Source organism: Homo sapiens, chromosome 10 (genome assembly GCF_000001405.40).
Source record: "Homo sapiens chromosome 10, GRCh38.p14 Primary Assembly".
Lineage (NCBI taxonomy): Eukaryota > Metazoa > Chordata > Mammalia > Primates > Hominidae > Homo > Homo sapiens.
The window spans coordinates 58,603,279-58,629,232 of NC_000010.11; the positions used below are offsets into that span (position 1 = coordinate 58,603,279).

The window sequence follows — 25,954 nt, forward strand, 5'->3', positions numbered from 1 at the left end:
TTAGGATTATAGGAGGCCAACTTGACTGATGGTTTGGAAATAAGTAGTGTTGATTTCACCATGTGATTCCAGTGGTGTCACAATGCTTGAGACTTACCTGTGTGTAAAATTTACCTGGCATGCTTGCAAAAATGCAGATTCCTGGGATCCCAGAAAGATTAAAATTCAGTGGGATCTGTGGGTGGGGCATAAGAACTTGATTTTTCTCGTGAGCACCCCGCTACCTCTATGTATCTTCAAGTAAGTTGGTATGCCGTCAGTCCACTGTAGAGCGTAATAGTTGATACACTGAGTTAGTCAGTGTGTCCAATGAAAAAATATACATTTTGTGGTATAGTTAAATGTATTAGCAAGTTAAAAGATGGAAGGATCATGCAGATTAATTATCCATTTGGTAGTTCACAGGTCAATTTTGTGGGGAGGGTGAAATTATATAGAATGTACATTGATGGAGGTGGAATTCTACTTGCAGTGAAAATGCCAATCTTCCATAATAGTTATTATCAGGAGTGGGAGGCCAATAACATTCTGTTCGTTCAATTTCTAAAATCATGAAGTCAATAGAAAAGTGGGCAACTAGTTACTCATTTGGTACTTAAGTAATTAATGAGTAATTTAATACTTAATAGGTAATTAAGTACGTAATAAGTATTGCCAATATTAGTTAGGCCTGTGGAGTTTTTCATAACGGTCTTCAAATAAGTTCAGATCTATATTTCTGTTATGTGCAAGGGGGTCCCTCTTCTTTTTTGAATGCTTCATCTACTCACTGCCTTTCCATTTGTTTGGCCTTTCTTTGCTTCTGCTTTCTGACTAATTCTGCACTTCCAAGAAGACTTCAAAGCAATAGAGCCCTCCAGATTTTTGCCACATGGATGGTTCACTTAATTATCCTCTGATAGTCCTAGTATTGTGTGCCCAGTCCCACTGGGGAGAGGTGGGGCAGTAGAACTCCTGAGACTTGCTACTGCTGTATTGAGGGCCACAGTGATAAACACATTGTTGTCTTATAGTCTGTTTGATATTTAGACTACTCAAATTTAACCATAATCTTTAAAAATAAAATGTAAATATAAATACTATTAGGTCATGAACAAAAAAAATTAAGCGGCTGGGCGTGGTGGCTCATGCCTGTAATCCCAGCACTTTGGGAGGCCGAGGCGAGTGGATCACGAGGTCAGGAGATCAAGACCATCCTGATCCAACCCCATCTCTACTAAAAATACAAAAAAATTAGCCAGGAGTGGTGGCGGGCGCCTGTAGTCCCAGCTACTCGGGAGGCTGAGGCAGGAGAATGGCGTGAACCCGGGAGGCAGAGCTTGCAGTGAGCTGAGATCACGCCGCTGCACTCCAGCCTGGGTAACAGAGCGGGGGAAAAAATAAAATAAAATTAAGCAAAGCATAATTTCCATCTTTACAAATCCTGAATGAATATTAGTTCATGCTTTTATGTCTTTAGAAAACATAGTTGGAATGGTGTCTTAGTCTGTTTGGGCTGCTATAGCAGAATACCATATACTGGATAGCTTATAAACAGAAATTTATTTCTCACAGTTCTGGAGACTGGGAAGTTCATGATCAAGGTGCTGGCAGATTTGGTGTCCTTTGAGGCCCGACTTTCTGGATCAGAGACAGTGCCTTCTATTTGTTTCCTCATGTGGTGGAAGGCAAGAGGCACCTATCTATGTTCTCTCTTATGAGGGTGCTAATCCCATTTTGAGGGTACCACCCTCATGACCTAATGACTTCCCAAGGGCCCCACCTCCTAATAGCATTACCTTGGGGGTTAGCATTTCAGCATATGACTATGAAGGCAAAACATTTAGACCAGAGCAAATGGTCTAGGCCAGATTATCACACTTGTCCTTTGTATTCTCTTTGTGGTGTGAGTACTAAGCTAAAATAGCCTAGAATATTAAAAATCGTCACGTAATATATACGCATAGTTTAAAAATGAAATAGTATAAAAAGACTTATGATGAAAACACAATATCCTTCCCCACAAAACATACTCTGTTCCCTAGATGTAGCTGCTTTTTATTCCTTGAGCTGTTTCTTGCTGATTCTTCATTTTCGAAATCTGTTTATTGCATTCTCCCCATTCATTACCTTTAGCCATTGTCTGTTGTATTCTTTTGTGGTAGAAAGGATTTACCTTTTATCCTCCTCTGTTTTCCCAATAAAGTTTAATGACAAGTTTTAGCTTAATCAATATTCAGTGTGTATATTTTATTTGTCCTTTGGTGTCTATGGGGGATTTGTTCCAGGACCTCCTATGGATACCAAAACCTGATGCTCAAGGCCCTGACATAAAATGGGATAATATTTGGATATAACCTGTGCATATCCTCTGTACACTTTAATCTCTAGATTACTTACAATACCTGATACAATGTAAATGATATGCAAATAGTTGTTATACTGTATTGTTTAGAGAATAATGTCAAAAAAGGCTGTATTTGTTTAGTATAGACACAATTTTCTGTTGAATATTTTTGATCCACATTTGGTTGAATTCACAGACATGGAACCCAGGGAATGTGGAGCGCTGACTCTCTATCATCTATGTTGTTGTTTCCTGACAAGCAACTAATATACAAACATTTCTTTTCCTTTTTTTGTCAGAATTTTGTTTTTCCTGGAGTTGGTAATTGCCTTGTTCTTTTCTTCCCCCTTGGGTTTAATATTTTTTATACCTATCACAAATTCTTTCTACACTGTCTAATGCTCTCAGAACAATTTTCCACATGGTTAAGATTTCAGATAATTAATCAGCTTTTTTTTTTCCCTGACAACTTTCCTCTTTGAGGCCTGTTGGCCTGCTTCATCCTTTACTATTTGCCTTCTGGCCTGGCTTCACAGCTGTCATCATGGAATTTGCTCCCATCCTGGGAATTTCTCCTCACTCTTTTCTATATTCAATCCCCAGTTAATTATATAAGGGAAAGTCTCAGTTTCTTGGCTAATTTATTCAATTTGATACATACAACCCCTACTAATATATGGAATCCAAGTAGTAGGGAGGTAATTTTTTTCCCCTTGCAACTTAGCGTGCCTGAAAATTTCACCATATCCTTCTACTTAATTGTGGGTTTAGCCAGGTAAAGAATTTTGGGTTGAAAATAATTTTTCCCTGGGGTGGGGGAGGGGGGAGGGATAGCATTGGGAGATATACCTAGGGCTAGATGACGAGTTAGTGGGTGCAGCGCACCAGCATGGCACATGTATACATGTGTAACTAACCTGCACATTGTGCACATCTACCCTAAAACTTAAAGTATAATAATAAATAAATAAATAAAATAAATTTTCCCTAGAATTTAAAGCTTTACTCTCTTGTCATATACCATCTCATGGCTTGAATGAGAATTCTGACACTATTCTAATCGCCTGTGACTTGTTTTTTTCTCTCTGGAAGGTTTTAAGATATTTTTATTTCAAATGTGAAATTTCAGAAGCATATGCTTTGAGTATTTTTTCTTTCAGTTACAAATTGAATTAGCTCTACTAATATGGAACCTTATGTTTTTTGGTTCTGGACATTTTCTAGTATATTTCTTTGATTAAAAATACATTTTATAGTCTGTTTTCTTTTTCTGGAAATTCGGTTAGTTGGTCTTGGATTTTTTAAAAAGCTATTTCCTCCTATATTTTATGTATGTCTTGTTCTTTCTGGGAGAATTTTTAAAAATGTTTCAAATCTTGGATAAGATTGTGATATTTTTGTTCTCTAAATGTTTCTCTTTTAAAACTGTCGGCCTGGCGCGGTGTCTCACGCCTGTAATTCCAGCACTTTGGGAGGCCGAGGTGGGTGGATCAGCTGCGGTTGGGAGTTTGCGACCAGCCTGCCCAACATGGAGAAACCCTGTCTCTACTAAAAATACAAAATTAGCCGAGTGTGGTGGTGCATGCCTGTAATCCCAGCTACTCGGGAGGCTGAGGCAGGACAATCCCTTGAACCCGGGAGGCGGAGGTTGCAGTGAGCCGAGATTGTGCCATGGCACTCCAGCCTGGGCAACAAGAGCGAAACTCTGTCTCAAAATAAATAAATAAATAAATAAATAAAACTGTCATGCTACTGTTTTTTCTTTTGGGATGGGTGCATTACTTTTTCTTATCTTTCTAATATCAATTGTAAGTTAAAAAATTATCCCATCCTCCATTCTCTTTCCCCATTTCCCAGCCTATCCTTCCTCATCTTCTCCACCTCCTTTATCCTCCTTCTCCTCTCTTCTCTTTCCCTTGCTTTCTCCCTCCTGTCCTTTTCGTCCCCCTTCGCCTTCTCCTCCTCCCCATTCTCTTTCCCACTCCTCCCTCACTCTTCCCCATCGGCCTCCCTCACTTTCTTCTCTTTGTCATTTCCTCATCTCCTTCTCAATCTCTTCCTTCTGTTATTTTGTTTTGCTTTTGCTTATATTTTGGATTGAGGCAGTAAAACTGTTTCTGCTTTGGTGTGATTTGTTGACTGGTCCTCACCAGCAAGGGAATGACCTCGTATGCTGATACATTTCATAGTGAATAACTGCTACATGGCTGTCTTATGATAGTACAGTCCGTAACAGGTAGAGCATTGCATCAGCTGTGCACCTGAATTGGAATATGATGCCCTAGAACTGGACATGTGGAGAACCCAGGAGCAATCTTGAACTCGGAGGAAATAGCTGTCCTTCCTGGTTTTCATGGTAATGTATGGGACTTGAGCAAGTCTAAGTCACTGACACTGAAGCAGTAGTGTAGATATGTACTATTTTAGAAGATCATTTACTGAAGAAAGGACATTTCCTAAAAGAAACAATATATGGGTATCACTGGTATTATACTCCTAGTATTATACAACCCCTTTGTGGGTGTTCTGGGCCCTGAACACTAAATGTCTGTATCACTACCCCCTTTTCCTCCCGCATTCTATAACAACCATAAAACTACTCCCCACCTCTCCTGCTTCCACTGCCCCAAAACCACCTATTTCGGAACACCTGTGTGAAGAGTGGGACCTCCCCTGGTGAAGAAAGTGTTCGCCAGCTTACGGGATTCCCTTTCCCTTTCACCATCACTGGAGAGCTCCCCTTCCTCCCCTGGCCTGTACCATCTGGCTCCTTCTAGGCACAGGTGCTATTTCAAGTGCTCTGAGGCATTGAAAAAAGAAAACGCGTTTTGGAATCAGACATTCATGAGTATTCACAGCATTGTCTCTGCCCAGAATTCCCTTTCCCCATGTCCTCATGTCTACATTCTACATTAAATAATCAGTTCAAAAGTCTCTACAGTAGTTATTCTTTGAATTCCTGTGCTTAATCATCTGTGACTCTTCTGTAATGTTTTAGTCTTGTCGTTTTTATTACACAACTATACGTCCTTAGAGGTCAAAGTAGAAGGCTTCCATTTATTAAATGCTTACAGGGTGCTGCTTTGCATATTTCAGGGGTAAAACAGAGCTTGAAGGAGATTGAAGAATTTGCCCAGAGTTATGCCACTGGTAAATGGCAAACCTAGATTTGAACCTAGACTTTTCTGGTTCCATAACTTTTATCTCCTCTCTCTGTGCCTTGTTGCTAAATAAATTTGTATAAATAAATAAAGAAATACATAAGTATTTTAGCATAAAGATGAATAAGCAGCCCTGATGAAAGCAGGCATGTCTCTTCTTTGCCCTCTGTCAACTTCCAGTTTTGGTGGAGAAAATAGCAAAACAGACTGCCTGGTCATGGATTTCTGCATATAACCTGAACTTTAAACATGCCTGGAACACATTTGGTTCTGATTTAAAACAAGTTGGCTTGCACCATTGCCATGTTATTACAAATACAAAAGAAATATAAACTTCATTCCATTAAATAACCATCCACATAAACTCTTAAATACTTTCATGGCTTTGGGCTGGGCCAAAGCTGGATATTAAGGAAATGATTATTAATGTTACATATTTTATTCAAACTGCTCTAATTCTTTTAACCTTCCCTCCATCCCTAAAAGTACCAGTCAACCTTTTCCTTCCTCCTGCAAAATGTTCCCAGGAGGTTAAAACAGATAGAACTTTGATTTCAAGCTACTGACTCTTACTATTTGGAAATACTCTTTGTTTTCAGTTCCTCATAGCCTGTAGCTGTGTGCTCTACTTGAAACTTTTCAATCCTCCTTGGATGACAGCAAAGTTAGTTATTATTCCCTATAGCGGTGCTGTACAATGGAAATATGTGAACCACAAATGTAATTTTATGTTTTATTGCCACATTAAGAAGAGTGAAACAAAACAGGTAAGATTAGTCTTATATTTCTTTGTTTAACCCAATATATAAAAGTAACATCATTTCAACATGTAATCAAAACATTATTAAGATTTTTTACATTCTTTTTTTACTACGTTTTCAAAATCCTGTTTGCATTTTATACCACAGCATATGTGAATTCAGACTAGTCACACTTTCAGTGTTCACGAGGCACATGTGGCCAGTGGCTGTCATATTGGATGGCGTAGCTCTATAGGAAGATCAGCATAAGCTCACTGTGGTGTATTAGGTATTCCTAATTCCATTAAACTATGAACATTGTTTAAATTTTGGTAAAGGGTTAGGGTTGTTTTTCTAAAAAAACATTGAAATTATGTAAATACCCAAAGTCTTCAAATAGTGTTATGACCTCAGGCCAGACTAAACGATGCTTCAGGGATTGCTTATATAAGAAGAAATAGTGTCTGAAAGCAAGGCATTGGACATGACCAACGTTTCTGTTAATCAGTTGGACTGAAATTCCATTGACATATGTTAGGGTCATCAGTCCACCAGGAAGTCTTCATTGTTAGGCCAATAAATTTGAAGTTCGAATAAACCCTTAGCAAGAGTTACTGAAAGAGTTCAAGTTAAAAGTTGCTTAAAGCAGTGAGTAATGTAGATGTTCTCAAATTTTTGGGAATATATATTTCCCTACATTTGATAGCAACAGATGCTTTCTGAAACTAAAATCCCCTAGATGAGAGAATGCTGGCCTTTGCTTGCTTTCTGTTGTGCCCTGAGTGTGACAGGGTCAGCACTGTCTTAGATTGTTCCTGGCATTGGAATATTGGCAGGAAAAAGATTTTACATGTGAAAAAATGCCTTGCAATCCACATTTTGAGAAGTGTGTGTAATCTGCAGAGTCTTATGGAGCAGCAGTGGTCCCCACTGTTAGACAGATTAGGAATCCTCCCCCTAACCTCCATCATAATCTTTCTAATTCTTATTCTGTTAAAATATTTTGTGGGAAATGAAATTTTAAAACACAGTCTCAAAGGATGTCTTGGATGGTTCAATTATTGGCCCATCCTCTTGTCCCAAATTGCCATGGATAATCTATCTAGCTCTTTTTTTTTTTTATTCTGAGCCATAGAGCCCTTTTATAATGGGGTAAATTTCTGTTTTATTTCGTGTTTCATTTGATGTGACCTTTCATTGAAAGTGGGTTTTGTTTTTAAACAGCCTAGAATTGGAAATGTATGCATATACATTTTTCTTTTTGCGGTTCACACATTTTGGAGGGTGTCTATTTCTGTCTTCTTTGGCTAGCTATTGAGTTTGGATATAACTCACAGAGGTTTTCCAAATACTAGATTGTTTACTGTTTTCAGCTGTGAAGATTCTACTATAGGCCTAAATGATTAAAGCTTCTCCACTGAGAGCTGCACAAAATCAGTGTTTCATTCTAGAAAGTACTAGGTTGGTTAAAGCCTAAGATCTATACCTGGCATGATGTTATTGATTGTCCATTATCTATCTCTGATATTGCGTTAGTCATTGTGTCTCCTTAGGCAGCTTATATCTACATTTGATTTTCGTACTTTTGCCAATGATTGCCTTATACACTGTGGGCTGAAAATAATGCTGTGACAGACCAGTAATGGTGAAACCTTGGTTCATTCTCAAATAGGAAGGAAGATTTAAAAATAATTTTTACCTGAATGTTTTCTAATTAAAAAGCAATTCAAGCTATTTAAAGGTATGCTGAAAAATACAAAGAAAAAATGATAAACAGACCCAAGAATTCTACCACTCAAATAACAAGTGTTATTAATATTTTGGTATTTATCCTTTCAGTCTTTTTTCTAACACATTCACTATGTATCCATATATCTAAATACATGTTTGTTTATATTTGTGTCTGTATATGTACACGTACAGACTTTTATACAGAATTTAAGTCATTCTGTACATTCTGTTTTTTTGTTTCTTCTTTTTTTTTTTTTGAGACAGAATCTCGCACTGTTGCCCGGGCTGGAGTACAGTGTCATGATTTTGGCTCACTGCAACCTCCGCCTCCCAGGTTCAAGAGATTCTCCTGTCTCAGCCTCCCAAGTAGCTGGGATTACAGGCATGCTCTACCACTCCCAGATTATTATTATTATTATTATTTTGTATTTTTAGTGGAGACAGGGTTTCACCATGCTGCGTAGGCTGGTCTCAAACTCCTGACCTCAGGTGATCCTCCCACCTCGGCCTCCCAAAGTGCTGGGATTGCAGGTGTGAGCCACTGTGCCCAGCCTGTACATTCTGTTTTATACTTTAAAAAACCAAGTTAAGATTGCATTTTTGACCATGGGAATTTAACTGCAAAAATAAAACAATATTTAAGAAAAAATATTAAAGTGAAGAAGAAAGCCATCCTTAATCCAGCCACTGTTAAGAGAAAAATTATATTTATTTTTGTCTATTCTTAATTTTTCTCAACAGGCCTATTTATTTAATTTTTTACAGGCAGGTGAATTTGAATTGTTCACAGTGAAGACTGGTAATTAGAGAGGGAAAAGATAGGGTCTGAAAATTCTCACACTTATGAGATACAGCATTCAGATGATACTTTTCACCGTTGAAATTTAAAGTTAGAAGTGTTCTTCAGTTGGTTAGAGTATTTTAATGATGACTATGATTTTAATTCAGAAGTGGAAGAAACTTTAAGAATGAACCTAATGACTACTCTTTTCTCAGTTGGCTCTCAGAGCTTTGCATGCCATTCCAAAGTGCAAGGTATAATTCATGAACATAAAAAGTTTCTCTGGGAATGTATAGAAACTGCATCTTCTACATCTTTTGTGCTGATTCCTCTTTCACTTGAATTGGCTGGGTTGTCAGGGAAACAGTTAACATACAGTTTTCTGGAAACAGTTAATATACAGAATAAAATATATGGCATAGCTCTTTTAGCATATGGATTAAATTGATACAATAAGGGAATGTTTTAAATTTTGTGTAAAATATTTTTGCACAAGAATCAGGCTACCTGAATAATTGTTTATCTTTCAGGTGACCGAAAAGCACAGCAGCCCTCTTAGTTGCAAATGTGTTGAGTTGTGTTAAAAAAAAAAAAAAAAGATGGAGAGGAATGCCCTGATTCTTTACAGATTTGAAGAATTATATCTCAATTAATTTTATAATTTGAACTTGGTATTTTCTTGCTCAAATTCCAAAGGGGAAGAAACCCCATTGTTTATCAAGGTAATGTTTAAAGATGTTTCATACTATGTTATAAATATGAAGAACATAGTCCTTGTGTTTTTAGAGTTGGCTCCATAAAGCATCAGATGTTATAATAGAAAAGCATTTCAAAATGAAAAGGATATTTAAACAGAAGTTTCCATGTGCCCCAGGAAGAATTTAAAGTCAAGCTACCCCCCTCCCATTTAATTCAGTCATTAACTGGACTTGCTCTGTAGTTTGGGGGGATTGTAATAGTTTACACCTGTTTCAACTTTTGCTGTTTTTATTGGCAGTGGCTTTTGCCATCCCATATTTCTTGTGAAGCAAAAATATGAAATAAAATATGGCAAAGCATTGGAGAAATTATAATAAACATAAAAAATGAATCGTTCAGCTTAAAATATGAAATGCTTTACCTGCACATTCAGCCAGCCACGTTTCAGTAGTATTGAAGTAATTTATTCCCGGAGTTGTGTGTCATGAAAATAAAGACAATTGCTTTCATTGGCAGGAATAATCCAGGGTTTTTACATCCAAGCGAATAAACTTTGGAACATCAGGCAGACGTTATATTGTAAAGACAGTTTAAGGAAAACCTGCTAAATCATTATATCTGTGCTCATGTCACTGTGGAATAAAAAAGATGAAGGAGTATCAGTGTCTAAGATTGCAAAGACTCAATAGAAGTATTTTACCACAGAGTGTAATCAAACTTTAAAGGTCAAGCAATATCATGACATAAAGTATGGTTTGGCTCATTTCACAGGCTCCATTTTGCCCTCCAAATATAATGAAAAGGAAATGATTTGAGTCAATATATTATCATATCTCATATATATTTTTTTCTTCCGATCCAGCTCTCTAATGGTCTCCATATAAGTGCCCTTTGTTCTTCAGATCTAACGGTAGCTGTCCAGCTCCAGTGTTGGGTTCGGAGTGAAATAATTAAGTTTTTAGTGCATTGTCTAGAATGAGAATTGCTAAATTAAATTTATAAGTTTAATTTGGTTAGAATTGTGACTGTGAAAAACTCTCTGGGAAAGTTGCTAGGAGAACTGAATTTTAACTTTGGCTTAATCTCACCAGTTAGGTTGCTTTGAATATTTTACAGGTTGGGGTTGTAATTTGAATGAAGGTAGGGCCTTGCCTATTTTGATTCATTAGCATCGAACCTAAGTCCTAAGTATTTGCAGAATGAAAGTGTCAGCTTTTCTGGGTCTGTAAAATGAGCATTTTATTTTATTTATCTTATTTTTTTTAAATGAGCATTTTAAATGCCTAATTTTATATTGAGAAAAATGTTCTTCAGTGATACCCTTTTCCCCAATCTCTCACTTCTTGGAAAGACTTTATATTTTGATACTAATGAATGCAGACTAAGTGGGAGAAGTAGACTCTCAAATTTGGGCTCAGAAGAATCCGTGTTTGGGGGAAGAGAAGAAGACTTTTAGTGAAATGTCACTCTCTTAATAGGCTCTCATGGCCTTTGTTAGCTTTGTCTGCTTGGGGTCAGTGAAAGTCCTTCAGGTGACCTGGCATCCTGGGAGTGAATTGAGTATGCTTCTCCCTAGGAAGGGCTAATGATTGGGACTCAACACCGTTTGCACCTGAGACCATGATCTAACCAACAACTCATCAGCATCTTTTACCAAGGTATTTATGGGCTTGGGAAATGGATACATCAGAATTGAGGTAAAATCAGGCTCAGATTTAGAATTTCTTGCACACAAACACTTGGAATAAAAAAGTCCAAAGATTTTTGCTGCCAGTGAATGTAATTTGCCATTTCTGGCTTCTTGCCTGCTGTTTTCCCTCAAATAATAAACTTGCTAAAGGTGCAGGTTTCTGGTTAAATTTTAGTGATTTTTTTTCACCTTGGAACAGAGGTAATAACAGTTTAGGTCTAACTTAGGAAATCTTTCCCTTTTTATTCATCTGGAGGTTGAAGGGCCATTCTGTGAAGGGTGTTTAGTGTTTTGATGGACTTGGAATGAAGGGGCATGACAAAGTGTGATGTAATGAGTTTGTCTTGAGCAAAATAAGTCTCCTCAAGGAAGTTTGTGTAATAAATATAGTTGTATAATGAAATTTCAACAGATGAATTCTAAGTTGTGAAGGAATTTCCTGTGGTAAAAAGGGCAATTATCTACTTTGCTTGATAGACCTTTGAAAATATATTTGATTCTAAAAATTTCTTCTCACAGAAGAGTTTCCTCAATGTGACTAGATATTTTTTTGAATCTCCATGTCCTTATCTGCTACTTTCATTGCCATGTGAAAGTGGGTATCATTGAGGGTGGCTCTTTTAAAACTATTTTTAGCCTTAGACAAAGACAGCCAAGAATTGGCTAAGTGCCCCCCCGAGACACTTTTCATTAGGTTTGAGCACTGACCTTTTATCTTGCCTGGGTGTTCGCTTTAGCTAGGGCCACCCACACTTGCCAGTTTGCTTAGAAGTTTGTTCAACTTTACTTTTTATGTTTTCATTGAGCTTTAATATTGGCATATTTTAAAGTTACAGAATGAAAATCATTGTTTGCAGAGCAAACTACAGATAATTTATTTGTAGAAATGTGTGATTCAAATGGCCTCCATCAGTGTGTAAGGAAAATGGATGTGCCGCAGTCAAGAATACGTCGAGGCAGACATCCAGTTCAGCATGACCCAGCGAGTTTGGAGTGCAGGCTCCCAACTCCACTCATTATGTAACCACGCCACATGAGGCGCATTAGGTGTCCACCCACATGAGCTCGTGCTTTGCTCAGAGCCACTATTGTCTGTAAAAGGTATAATTACCCTGCTGACACTACATGCAGCTTGTGCCCCAGTCGGCTTGTTCGTGCCAAGAGACAGAATAAAGCCACGTTGAAACCCCCTACGATTCCTTGAGTGTTCTTTCAGCTGTCCACCACTCATCCACCCACTCCTCAGTCCTCAGCTTGGGCTGGAACCTAACACTTGGCATGACACTTGGCATAGTCAGCAGGATACTGAGGAGAGAGAGCCTTCGGTCCCCACTGATTCCAGGTTGGGCATGTGACTGCAACATGAGTTATGGTGCCCAGTGGCAGCTGTACTGCTTAATGGGCTCTGGTGGAAACCTAGGTGGTGGCAGTAAATCGGTCCCCCACGAGCATGGAAGAGGTGCTGAAGCAGCTGCAAGTGCAAAGCCCTGAGAAGGAGTGAGCTTTTGCTGGCAGAGTTGGATAGGCATTTTTGAATGCACTATGAAAAGTACACACCCAGTCCCTGAGGGATGCAGCAGAAGTAAGGGCCCTCCAGGTGCAGGCTGGGTGCCTGGAGGCCTGGCTACACAGCTCAGCAAAAGATTTAGAAGCTGCCGTAAGTGGGGACCTTCAGGTGCAGGCAGGGTGCCTGGAGGCCAGGCTACAGAGCTCGGAAAAGGAATTAGAGGCTGCTGTGAATGCAGGCCTGGGGCTGTCGTCTCAGCTGGAGACCCCCACTCTGATACCGAGGAGGCTGTTAGTGAGACCGAGGGGTCTGCTCCATAAAGAAGGGGAAGATGCCCTGCCTGCAGGGGTCCCCCCACTGGAGAACAGGGGGCCCCAACAAGTGACATGCTCAGAGATGTGGATTGATTTGGTTTTGGCCAGGATTGACTGAGAGAAAATTGATAAACAGCCAAATGAAGTACTCTTAACTTTGTGCAATTCCAGAAAATGCCCCAATGGGAGAAGGACATTGCTGCACAACCTGGTCCCACCTGGGCGCTTCAGCTCAAAGACTCCGTATGTGCTACAGCCAGGTGGGGGTGTAAAGCCTTTTCTGTATGATGAGGGAACTGGCTGAGGTTCGACTTAGGGGAACACCAGATGACTGGAGGCCACATGTGGAGTTGACAGTCCATTGTTACCCCACCAACATATAGCAAGTGCTGGTGCTGGTAGACACCAGCACAGATAACGTTTTGGGCATGGATATTTCACATGGCTTGGCAGCCATGCTGTCTATCAGTGGGCTTGACAAAACTGAGACAGTACCACTTTGTGGTGGACTTGGCCAATGCATTCTTTTCCAGAGAGCCAGGAGCAGTTTGCCTTCATGGGAGGGCAACAGTGGACTTTCACAGTGTTGCTGCAGGGCTATGTGCATAGCCCCACCATATGTCATGGTCTTGTTAATGATATTATGCTAACTTCTGATTCTCTTGCAGATTTAGAAGTGACAATGCTCCCCTTGCCTAGATTTAAGATGGTGCGGCTGAGACCACCTTCCTGGCAGCCAGGTGGGCTATTCAGCAGGCACAAGCCCTACGGGTAGTTGACCAGGGGTACCTGTTTGAGCTGGATGTGCATGTGACCACAGATAGTTTTGGCTGGGGCCTTTAGCAGCGCATGGAGCGCTTGAGAATGCCAGTAGGCTTTTGGTCCCAACTGTGGAAAGGAGCTGCGCTCCAGTATTCACTGTTAGAGAAGCAGTTAGTAACTGCATATGCTGCCCTTCAGGCTCGTGAGAGTACGGCAGGATGGGCTACAGTCGTCGTGCGGATGACTTAGCTGATAGCGGGATGGATGCATTCATGGATAATGACTCCCTGAAATGGGCTAGCACAGACATCCACTTTAGCAAAGTGTGGTGCCTACTTGGAGCAGCAGAGTACACTGAATACAAGTCCCTTAGCAGCAGAGTACACTGAATACAAGTCCCTTAGCAGCAGAGTACACTGAATACAAGTCCCTTAGCAGCAGAGTTGCAAGAGGTCTTGGGACTTGTAGTCCTAATGGAAGATAAGGCCATGGGGCCTGAGGCACCCCTCCATTCCTGATAGAGCATGGTATACGAATGGGTCTAGCTGGGGTGCTGCTATTGCCTGGACTGCTGTCACAGTTCACTCTAGTACTGACGCCATATGGTTTGATACCAAGTGTGGACAAAGTAGCTAATGGGCTGAAATCAGGACAGCATGAATGGTGATCACCAAGGTGGTGACACCTACGGTAATCTGCACCGACAGCTTGGCAGTTTATTGAGGCTTAGCCTTGTGGTTAACTATCTAAAAGTAACAGAAGTGGCCAGTTGGTCACTGGCCCATATAGGGCCAAGCCATGTGGCAAAACCTATGGGAGGAAGGATGACCTCCTCTGACCAGGTACAGAGATGAATGGTAACCTGTTGTTGCCTGCCCCAGTGCTCCTAAAGGCAGGGAAATAAAAGCTTGGCTAAATGTACAAAGCAACATTGGTGTAATGTCACCATGGGGTGGTTGCCCACCATAACCTGGAGTTGTTTTTCCCTGTATTACTGCTGTGGCCTCTGGGTCCAGGGTTTCACCCTTTGGGCATGTGTCCCCACTAGAAAAACTCCCTCTGCCTAGGGGGTGGAATGTAAGACCTATGTGTTGGGCCTGAGTGTCTGGGGCCTGTGTACCTAGAGCCTATGTGTAAGGTCTTGTGTCGGACCTGTGTGTCTGGGGCCTGGCTTGCATGCCCAGAGGCTATGTATGAGGCCTGTGTGTTGGAGCTGTGTGTCCAAGGCCTATGTCTCCCTTGGCCTAGGGGGTGGAGTGTAAGGAAAATGGATCTGCTGTGGTCAAGAATAGGCCAAGGCAGACATCCGGTCTTGCATGTGAGTCTGGAGTTTGGAGCGCATGTACACAATTCCACTCCTTACATAACCACGTCACGTGAGGTGCATTAGGTGATCACCCATGTGAGGTCGTGCTTGGCTTGGAGCCACTATTGTCTGTAAAAGGTATAATTATCCTGCTGACGCTGTACATATGGCTTGCGCCTGGGTTGGCTCGCGCCCAGGTTTGCACCCACAGTTCACGCCCAGGCTCACTCACACCAAGAGAGAGAATAAAGCCATGTCACAACTCCCCATGATTCCTCGAGTGTTCTTTCAGCTGCTCGTCATTCATCCACCCCCTCCCCTTGGTCTCCCGCTTGGTCTGGAACCTGACACTTGGCGTGACACAGTGTCTGGGTGCAGTTCATCCTATTGATGATGTGGAATTTGTGCAAAAATAAAAGTTAAAAAGACATTAGCATTATAGGTTAGTTTGCTTTTGCTGCTGTAACAAGTTGCCACAGTGTAGTAGCTTAAAACAACAGAAATCTTACTTTTTGGGTCTGAAATTTGAAGTGGTTTTCACTGGGCTGAAAGCAAGGTGTTAGCAGAGCTGTATTCTCTACAGAGGCCATAGGGAAAGATAATTTCTTTGACTTTTCCAGCTCTTAGAGGCCACCTACATTCCTTGGCTCATGGCCTGTTCCCCTGTCTTCAAATCTTTGTCATCTCTGATCTGTCCTTTGTTGTCATGTATCCATCTCTCCTTGTGCTTCCATTGTTACATCACTTTCTTGTACTCTGAGCCCCCTCCTTCTTTCATTAAGGACACGATTACATTGGGCCCATCTGGCTAATTCAATATAATCTTCCTATCTTTTTATTTAATCACATCTACAAAATCTCTTTTGCCGTGTAAGATTCCAGGGATTAGTACATGAACACCTTTGCTAGGAGTCATTATTCAGCCCTACCACATATTAGAATACAATTTTTAAATTCCTTTTTAGCCTTTGTTTTTATGTTTTCTCAGATTGCCCTTGGAATTTCCAGAAACATGTACTCTGCAATCTGTTGTTTGGATAAAAATGTGTTGGTAAAAAATACACATTTCTATAAAAATAGAGAAGATGTCTTATATTTAACTGTAAAATTTAAGTTGGTGAAAAAAGAATGTAAATACTTGTTATTTCTTTGAGGGCAGAGAGAATTTCTCAAGTTTTGAATCTTTTTTTTTTTTTTTTTGAGAGAGTCTTACTCTGTCGCCAGGCTGGAGTGCAGTGGTGCAATCTCGGCTCACTGCAACCTCTGCCTCCCGGGTTCAAGCAATTCTCCTGCCTCAGCCTCTCAAATAGCTGGAACTACAGGCGCACACCACCACACCCAGCTAATTTTTGTATTTTTAGTAGAGACAGGGTTTCACTATGTTTGCCAGGATGGTCTTGATCTCTTGACCTTGTGATCCGTCTGCCTCGGCCTCCCAAGTTTTGAATCTTTCACTTAACAATGTCAAAATTATGGTAGATGCTTGTCAAAACTTGCTAAGTGACAAATGTGATTCTTAAGTGATTGCTCTGCCACATTTCTTGGGTCTTTAGTCATTTTAACAAGTGTTCTGGACACACACACATATGCACTTCTGCACACAAACATGGCTGTGCTGAGGTATTACCTAGCAGGTGTTTGGTTTACCGTGGTCTTCCAGACTTTAATTTCCAGTAGTTCTCACTTCAGTACCTTTCTTTGTCCTGGCCAGGCTTCTCTCATTAATCACTATTCCACCTACACCTGAGTCAGAGTCCTGTTTGGCCTTAGAAAGATGCAGTCTGAGTCTGTTGCAAGCAAGATGCTATTGGCTCTTTATCACTTCTCTCCTTTTAGTCAAATTCCCCACCCCTCAAAACAAATGAATACAAAATGTTCATAGTCACAAGACTTATGAACACAGACTGAGAAATGGGTTTGTCTTGTATTTATGGGCTACCATTTATCTATAAAAATGATATGAAAATACAGTGATATTTTAATTAATGTTACATGCAATTTTATTGTTGGCTGTGACCGTCACCATTACTGTTTAATTCTCATGTTTTTTTTTCTCTCTTTGTATATACAAATGAAGGAGTGAATTAAAAGTATATGATGCCAGCTGAAATTCAAGTAGATTATATAGACTTTATAAAGCATAAAATGGAAACAGCTCAGAAGTAGGCCATATACATGAGCCATCTTTGTGCCTGGGATTGATCACAGATAGGAAGTGCTTGGAATGCTACAGTTGATTACTTTGAGAGTTGCATTTATTCATATAGTTCTTTAACTATGAAAGGACGAGATCACTTTCATCATCTAAGTGTGCAGGGGTTTGTGAGTCTTTCAGACAAAGCAAAAGAGTGTTAAATAATCCAGAGACATGTAATTGATGGATTGGATTGCTAGTCTTTACCAGTTTTGCATCCCAGTGAGGCATATTAGCAGGCACTGAGCTGTGGGAGAGCAAGGCTGGCATCTTGTTTGCTTTTGCATTCTCATATCTGATGCTCGAAAGTTTTTTGAATGCATACATTGAAAAAGTATTTTAAATGTGCACATTTTTATTTACAGCTGCTGCTGAAGGGAAAGGCAGAAGTGGGGAAGACTTTTTTCAAAAGGTAAGTTGTCTTTTACTCTTGTCATGGTGATAAGTAAGAGGAAATATACTTATCTCAACAGCTACCCTAGAAGCCACCGAACGCTCCCCTTCATGTGGAGGAGAACAGGTTTCTATACGGGAGCTGGAAACACTCAGAGCTAGCCAGGAAAAGAGGGGATGCTGTATGAAACTTAACCATTCCAAGAAGGCTCCTTCCAGGGAAAATCTAATGAAATTTTTGCTTAAAGGCAAATAAGCAAAATGTAAGAGGGCTCAGAGGTGGATCAATTCATGTGGCATTCACACTTCATTTGGCTGGCATGTGACATAGGAAGGGGTTATTGTGCAAGGTAAGGTACACTATCCTATATGGTGAATATGGTGGGGGAGCTTTTCTAAAGATATTTAAATTAAAACAAATTTTAAAATGTTCTACTGGCCAAATAGAATGTGCCAGACTGCTAGTTTTCCATCCTTTGCTAAATTTATAGGCTCAGGCTGATGCAGTTTAGGTACTGTACCCCCTGACTTGGTGTTATCTGACATTGGTTAATCTCCAACTTATACTGAATACCCGAGCATTTCTAAGTGCCCTGGCCTTAGCTGGGGCAGGCTTAGCAACAAGGGTAAGACAAGAGAAGACGAATAGGCTGGATGCAGTGGCTCATGCCTGTAATCCCACCACTTTGAGAGGCCGAGGCTATCAGATTACTTGAGTCCAGGAATCAAAGACCAGCCTGGGGCAGGGCATGGTGGTGTGTGCCTATAATCCTAGTGCTTTGGGAAGCTGAGGCAGGTGGATCACTTGAGGTCAGGAGTTTGAGACCAGCCTGGCCAAAAGCCTGTCTCTACTAAAAATATAAAAGTTAGCCCGGTGTGGTCGCAGATGCCTGTAATCCCAGTTACTTGGAAGGCTGAGGCACGAGAGTCACTTGAACCCGGAAGACAGAGGTTGCAGTGAGCTGAGATTGTGCCACTGCACTCCAGCCTGGGCAACAGAGTGAGACTTTGTCTCTAAAATTAGAATAGAATAGAATAGAATAGAATAGAATAGAATAGAATAGAATAGAATAGAATAGAATAGAATAATCCAGCCTGGGCAACATGGAGAAATCTCTCCTCTACCACAAAAACAAACAAAAAACCCAAATTAGCCAGGTGTGATGATGTGCACCTGTAGTTCCAGCTCCTCTGAAGGCTGAGGTGAGAGGATCACCTGAGCCCAGGAAGTTGAGACTGCAGTGAGCCATGATCGTGCCACTGCACTCCAGCCTGGGTGACAGAGTAAGTCCCTGTCTCAAAGAAAAAAAAAATGAAAAGAAAACAAATAGCAGAAATCATAGATTTCCCTTGGGTTGGCTCTGATGGTAAAAATAGATGCTGTCAGTGGAAGGATTCTTCTTCATTGTTCTTCTTTAACTCACAGATAGATGTAAAAAACAGATGCTCCACCTTTGTGATTTCAGACAATTTAAAAGCTGAGTCAAAATATGGTGTATATGATCATAAAGGACTTTCATTCTTAGATTTCCTAATATTTCTCACTGTTTGCAGAGACATATATACATTCCAGCAGTTTAAATGGAAACACATGTTTGAATCCAGGAACATGTGTGCGTCCCACAGACTATGAGTTAGAGTCATAGATTCTATTCTTGGTCACAGATTAATGAGGTCTCTGAATAACTAGATGGGAGTACATTTTATCTTCTCATTTGTTTCTTTAGTTCAATGGGAACTGTCTTTTCCATAGATAGGTGTCCGTATAGGATTTGCATACTCATCCAGCAAAAAATCTCTAACTTAGAAACAGCCCAAATTCCAGAGAGTCATTTTTCTGCTATTTTGACTGGACAGAAGTAGACATTATGGTTCATCTACAGTAGAATGAAGTAATGGAGAAATACTGAATTGTCCTCCAGGAACTTGCATGCAGTCACATGTATTCTAGTTTTACATGACATTTTGGGAAGCATTTAAGAAATAGGCTACATAGCTGTTCACTAGCATCTTCGTATTTTTCTCTCTCTAAAATAATGCAAATATGAAGGATCTAGGCTTGTGATTGGAATGTTTCTTAGTTTTTACTTTGAGGTGTGCATGACAAAAGTTAAAACCTCTCTTTAGCTGAGTTTAAACTTCAGCTACTCAACTTTTCTAAGCCTGGAAGGATATCTACCTAGCTTCATAGTGCCTCTCCCTATGTAGAGATTTGAGAAGGAGTGTGAGACTTTTCATATGTAACTTTATGTTTTTTTGTACCATAAAAATATATGTAAAATCATAATGACTATACTAAATTTTGCTCAATTTAATTAATTGCTCTCATTAAAGTTTTCGAATTAGAAAATAATAAAATTAATTTTAAAAATCTTCCAAAATAAGAATTGGTATATTTCCATAAAGAGCTTGCATTTCAGTTTAACAGATAATAAGATTGTGAAACATATTATCTCAAATTTGAGGCTGTAATAGTAGTTGTTAAGCTTATTATACACTTCTTCCATTGAGTCAACGTTACTGTTTTTTCCAGAGATCTACCCAGTTTTCTATACACTGTTTTGCTGCATGGGTTTGAAATGATATATTTCCCAAACACAATAAAGGATAAAATGTAAAAGCCTAAGATGTTATAGCAAAAAATCCCCAAAACCCCAACAATATAGTGTCTTAAAGAGCAGAGTCATTCGTTGTCCTCTTATGTAACGTTCTAAGGAGAGTCTTCCAGCTGGGTTGGTAGCTGTGTCCCATGCTGTCATTCAGTGACCCAGGCTCCTTCTAAGACATATCTGGATTGTCCCTAAGCATGACCTTCATCTCCGTTGTTGAAGCTTGGTCACAACCATGTCCAATTGTGTGTTGGTGAGGGAGATAGAATATTGAAGAGAGGCACGCCATGGTTGTAACGCCCAGGCCTGAATGTGGCACCTGTCACTTCCTCTCACACTCTATGGGAGAAAACTTAGTTATGTAGTCTTACCTAATAGCAACAATAGAGGGGAGGGAGGGGCTGGGACATTTGGAGAAAACAATTGATTTTGCAGGCACTATTCACCACAAATGAGATTGTTAGGGAAAAAAAAAAGTCTGTGATCAAAGTGTAATTTCTTTGTGTGGTGTACTTTGAAACTTTTTGTATTTGTTAGGGCTCCCATACCACAAACTGGGTGGCTTAACTGTGGGAGGGAGAATCTGTTCCATGCCTTTCTTTAGCTTCCCATGGTTTGCTGGTGATCTTTGGTGTTCCTTGGCTTGTGGAAGCAACACGTGGATCTCTGCCTTGATCTTCATATGGCATTTTCTCTGTGTGCCTGTCTCTATGTCCAAATAAAGACACCAATTATATTGGATTAGCAGCCCACCCTACTCTGGTGTGTGTTCATCTTATTATACATCTGCAGTGACCCTATTTCCAAATATCACATTCTGAGGTCCCAGGCATTAGTACTTCAACATACGACTTTTTGGAGGACAGTTCAAACTATAATACCTTTTAATGGAGAAAATAATTCTGTAGAAAAATTTACTAAGACTGTAGATGTTATTTGTCACATTTTGATACTCAGTCTGATCTATAGATATTTAACTGCCTAGTCATTTATACTAAATCTATTTTTTTAATCACAAGTCATTTCTAAATTGTCTACAATGAGTATATAATTGACATGCAAAAAGAGAAAAAAGTAATCTGTAATCTTGCCTTTTTGTTTTTGTTTTTTGTGTTTTTTTGAGACAGAGTCTTGCTGTGTTGCCCAGGCTGGAGTACACTGGCGTGATCTCAGCTCACTGTAACCCCTGCCTCCCGGGTTCAAGTGATTCTCCTGCCTCAGCCTCCCTGGTAGCTGGGATTACAGGCATGCGCCACCACGCCCAGTTAATTTTTGTGTTTTTAGTAGAGATGGGCTTTCACCATGTTGACCAGGCTGGTCTTGAACTTCTGACCTCCAGTGATACACCCACCTCAGCCTCCCAAAGTGCTGGGATTACAGACATGAGCCACAGTGCCTGAACTGTAATCTTGCCTTTGAAAGAGAACTATTTGTACACCCTTGGTCTTTTTTCTGTGTATATTAAAAATATATATAAAGTGATTTTTAATATTCCCTGTTTGATGGGATTACAGATTAAACTATGTATTTGCATTGGATCCATTCTGTGTTAAAACTTTGCAAAGTTATCCTGTAATAGTACTTTTTATTCTTCGGCTCTGACTACACTTATAAAAGGCGGGAATGGATATAACTTTATCAGTACTCTCCGTCCACTCCTGATGGCAGCTCTATCTAATGGAAACACATGGAAACAATCTTCCAGTTTTTTACAGTTCTTTGGGCAGTTGTTCATGGCTTACTCACTGTCTGTCCTATTTCCTTTTAATCAGTTCTTTTTTTCTTTCTCTTGTGAAATGACTATGGTCAGATCTTGGAGGGGAAAATGGGTTACAGTATTTTAGGTGGGGATAGGGTCAGTGATTGTATTACACATGTGACTCATCAAAGCAAACTGCATTAGGAATCTGTAATCCCAATGGTTGGAGAAGACAAAATACAGTCAGCATTGTAATTGATGAAAGCCAGGTTTTTTTTTGTTGCATTGGGTTATGTACAGTATTTTTCCTCAAAGTATACATCATTTATTTTAATGTAGGACTATGTTATATTCTTTGAATATATTGGATGTTTATTTGGAAAACTGACCTATAAACCATGGCTTGTCACAAAGGCTAACAGTAAGACTAAAACAATGAGATATTGATGGCTTATGTGGTTTATTTTTAAAACTTTCAAACTCATTGTTTTTAGACAAACATTACTTTTGGTGTTTTCAGACTGGAAAATAGCAAGTGTTGTCTTCTGGGGGAAATTCCTGGGATAAATAATTTGGTTCCCTCTGTACCTAAAAATGGGTGCATTAGATGGTCTTAGATGGGGACTAGGTGAGTCCTTTTATTGAGGGGCAGCAGAGTTAATAAAGTTACTCTGGCTTTCTCCACTAGCGATTATTTTTATATTTCGAGTGGGTTATTTCCTCTAGTAATGGATATAAGTTTTGGTTTAATTATTTAAAAGTGAATTCAGTTAACTCTGGCTCATGAATGTGCTTTTTCTAATACTGAGTCTGTGCTTAAACACAAATCAAATTTAATTTAAATAAGATCCAGATATTTTAAAGCTTTAATTTTAGTATTTATTTCAATAGGTAATACACGTACATGGCTCACAATTCAAATTTATAAAAGGGTATGCAGTGAAGAGTATTTGATATCTTGATGGTTTCTGAAGGTTCACTGAGAAAGCTGTGCAGCATTACATTGTTGGTCCCAAGCTTGGGTAAAGATGATCATCAATGTGCGTCATTACTAATGAAAACTTAGGGCCTAAAGCTAACATTCTGTGAGTTCTTATTACCGATCACTATACTATTGCCCTGAGAATGTTCCAGTGACAGAATCCGTGATCATGTTTTCTTTATACTACTGTCTAGATAGGAATAACTGGCTGCTTGTAAGACTTAGAAAAGAAGAGTAACTTTCCACCCCGTAAAGGTTGTTTAGTCATCATCTAGAAAGTTACTAAAGATGAGAATGGAGCTTATTTTTATACCTTATGATTTACTCACCTTCTATCAAGAATCTAGTAAATCAGGGTTAGTGAGAAGAGATTAAGAAAAAGATCAAGTAATTTGCTCATCATTCTCCTAGTCTTTCAAGTTTTGTTCTTGTGTTCATTTGAACACAGGAAGACTGGGTTTTGAGTCTATATTCTCTTAGCATGTTGTAGAGTCACCTGCTTCGAGTTGCATTGTAATGGTATATTCTTTTATTTCATCAGTCATTTCACACAACCTCTTTATGAAAACCACATTTCCTGTATTATTCCTTTTTCTAAAACCATGGAAGCAAGGAATGTCATTGAGATTGTTTAAAAATGTATGTTTAATGGCCAGGCACAGCAGCTCATGCCTGTAATCCCAGCACTTTGGGAGGCCGAGGTGGGCAGATCACCTGAGGTCAGGAGTTCGAGACCAGCCTGACCAACATGGAGAAACCCCGTCTCTGATAAAAATACAAAGTTAGCTGGGCGATGGTGCATGCCTATAATCCGATCTACTCGGGAGGCTGAGGCAGGAGAATCGCTTGAACCTGGGAGGCAGAGGTTACAGTGAGCCAAGATTGTGCCATTGCACTCCAGCCTGGGCAACAAGAGCAAAACTCCATCTCAAAAAAAAAAAAGTATGTTCAATGATAGTGAACGTAACTTAATTACTACTGCAGTTTGTTCAATTGAATAATCTTTAATCAACATCTGATGAAAGTTTAGTCATTATTGATTAAAATGGTTCCTTGAAACCAAACTCAATGCATTGGATCATGTAGAAAATGAAATTGAATTCATGAAAATAGGTCTTTTAAGAAGGGTCACAAGACAGGACCCTGGATTACACACTTGTAGTGCAAGTAACCATGGAAAGGTCTAGTTAAGAGACTTATTGGCATTAGTTTAAAAAGGTTTGTATATTATTTTGTAAAGTGTTCTCCCTTTATGACTTAAATGCCTACATTAATTCCTGTACTTGTCGGCATTTCCCTTAATCGAAAGATCTTGAGATACAGACTTCCTCATTTATGGTTGATATTAAGATTTTGGAACTATTTCGACATTATGTAGATAAAAATTACCCTAACTGATAATATGCAAACGTAAACATTTTTGTGTGGGTCAGAAGCAACTTTTGAAGAGGGTGGCATTAGCTGTTTGTGAGGAAGGAGTGCATTTGATTAGTTCCAATTTTAGCCTTGCCTTTGCATTGTGTGTCTATTTAATTGTCTTTTCAATGTCATGTGATTCAAATTGTTTTTATATCTTAGCGGGGGCATAGGACAAACTTGGTCTTAATATATTACGTAGAACATTATCAGAGATGTGTCTGAAAATCCATATATAAAGATATTCATTGTCACAATATTGTAATAATTAAAATAAAATTAAAAATAACCTAAGTACTCAGCCATGTAATATTTGAAATGTGGTATATCAGACATTGGATTATTATGTAGGCATTAAAAATCATACTTTTTGGAAATATTTAATGACATGTTGAAATTGGTTACTAGATAGGTACAAAAATTAGGACAAAAGGCATATAAATAGCTTGACTCAAATTTTGTTATATATGTTTATGCCTAATAAATGACTGGGCAAGAATTATGCCAAAATGTTAACCGTGACTCTCAGTGGTGAGATTGTGATTGGTTTTTATTTTCTTTCTGTACTTTCCTACAATGGACCTCCATTACTTTTATAATCAGGATTAAAAACAACTACCATCTTATGAAGAAAAACAGATAACAATAACTAAGATAGATTGAAGTTGTTAATGGATTAATTATTGCAGTTTAAGAGCATGCAGTTTTTTTGCTGAAAAACATTTAAGAAGTCAGACTTCCCATCATACTGAGGTTACTTCTGTGTCTTTTATATAACAGTTATAAAGACAGAACAAGTTTCAGATCATCAAGGTGGATCATTTCTAGGTAGTGTTAATTTTTAGAAAAATGTCCCCCCTTTCATCCATTTGCCCTTGTTTTGACATTCAGAGGTGTAAAATTTTTTTAAGATTTTTTTACATCTCTGTGCCTTCTTTTCTTCAGACCAAAGATACTTAGTTTCTTATTTATCATATGACTTAGTTTTCAGACCCTTATCATTCTTTTCGCTTTCAGTAGCAAGATCAGTGTCCCATTTTAAAAGTGGCAACAATATCTGGGTATAGTGTTTTGGATAGAGCCTGGCCAGTGCAATTATAATGAGGCCATAATATTCATAATATTAAGGTGATCCAGAAGTACCTAAATATTATATAACCTTTAGGCACTGTTACATTGGTCACTGACATGAAGAATCGACATTACTTGTCATTCTTCACCCAACTGAAGAGAAAAGGTTGGCTCCAATGTCATTGCTAGGTACATAACATAAAATGAGGATACTTCTAGACTGTTGACTGGCTGGTAAAGGCCTCCATAGATGTCACTCATATGTTGTGCCTGTCACTCTAAGCTCTTGACCTGACATGTAGCTTGGAGACAATGTGGCAGATGTGGTGGCTAGACTGTGAAAGTGTGGAAAGCCTCACTCTGGGAGATTTCACATGGTTTGGACATTGAATTGATAGTGAGAACTCCTGCATGCTTTTTTCTTCTCTCTGGACTCCTTGAGTTAGCTGGGGGAAAGGACTCAGCCACAGGGTGACAGTCTAAGATGATGGGCTGGGTGTAGTGCCTTTTAATCTGGCTAAAGTAACATGTAGTAAAGAACTTTAAGCTTTACTGATTTAAAATGACTTCACA

General features: G+C 39.3%; 1 protein-coding gene across 11 annotated transcripts in view; it reads left to right on the forward strand.

Annotated features, from left to right (window-relative positions):
- The window catches only part of BICC1 (BicC family RNA binding protein 1), a 319,216-nt gene that overhangs the window by 91,059 nt on the left and 202,203 nt on the right, over positions 1 to 25,954 (forward strand). For 7 of the 11 annotated variants that reach the window (XM_047425780.1, XM_047425781.1, XM_017016678.2 and 4 more), the window contains one exon: positions 17,577 to 17,623. The exons of 1 other annotated variant lie outside the window; for it this stretch is intronic. Coding sequence is in view for 7 of the 10 variants with exons in the window: in XM_017016678.2 (XP_016872167.1) it covers positions 17,577 to 17,623 (47 nt within the window). In the remaining 3 variants the exon portion in view is untranslated. Of the gene's footprint in view, positions 1 to 1,356; positions 11,097 to 13,617; positions 13,690 to 17,576; positions 17,624 to 25,954 lie in introns of those variants that run through there. 3 more of the 11 variants (XM_047425778.1, XM_017016677.2, XM_011540185.3) reach the window with 3 other exon arrangements.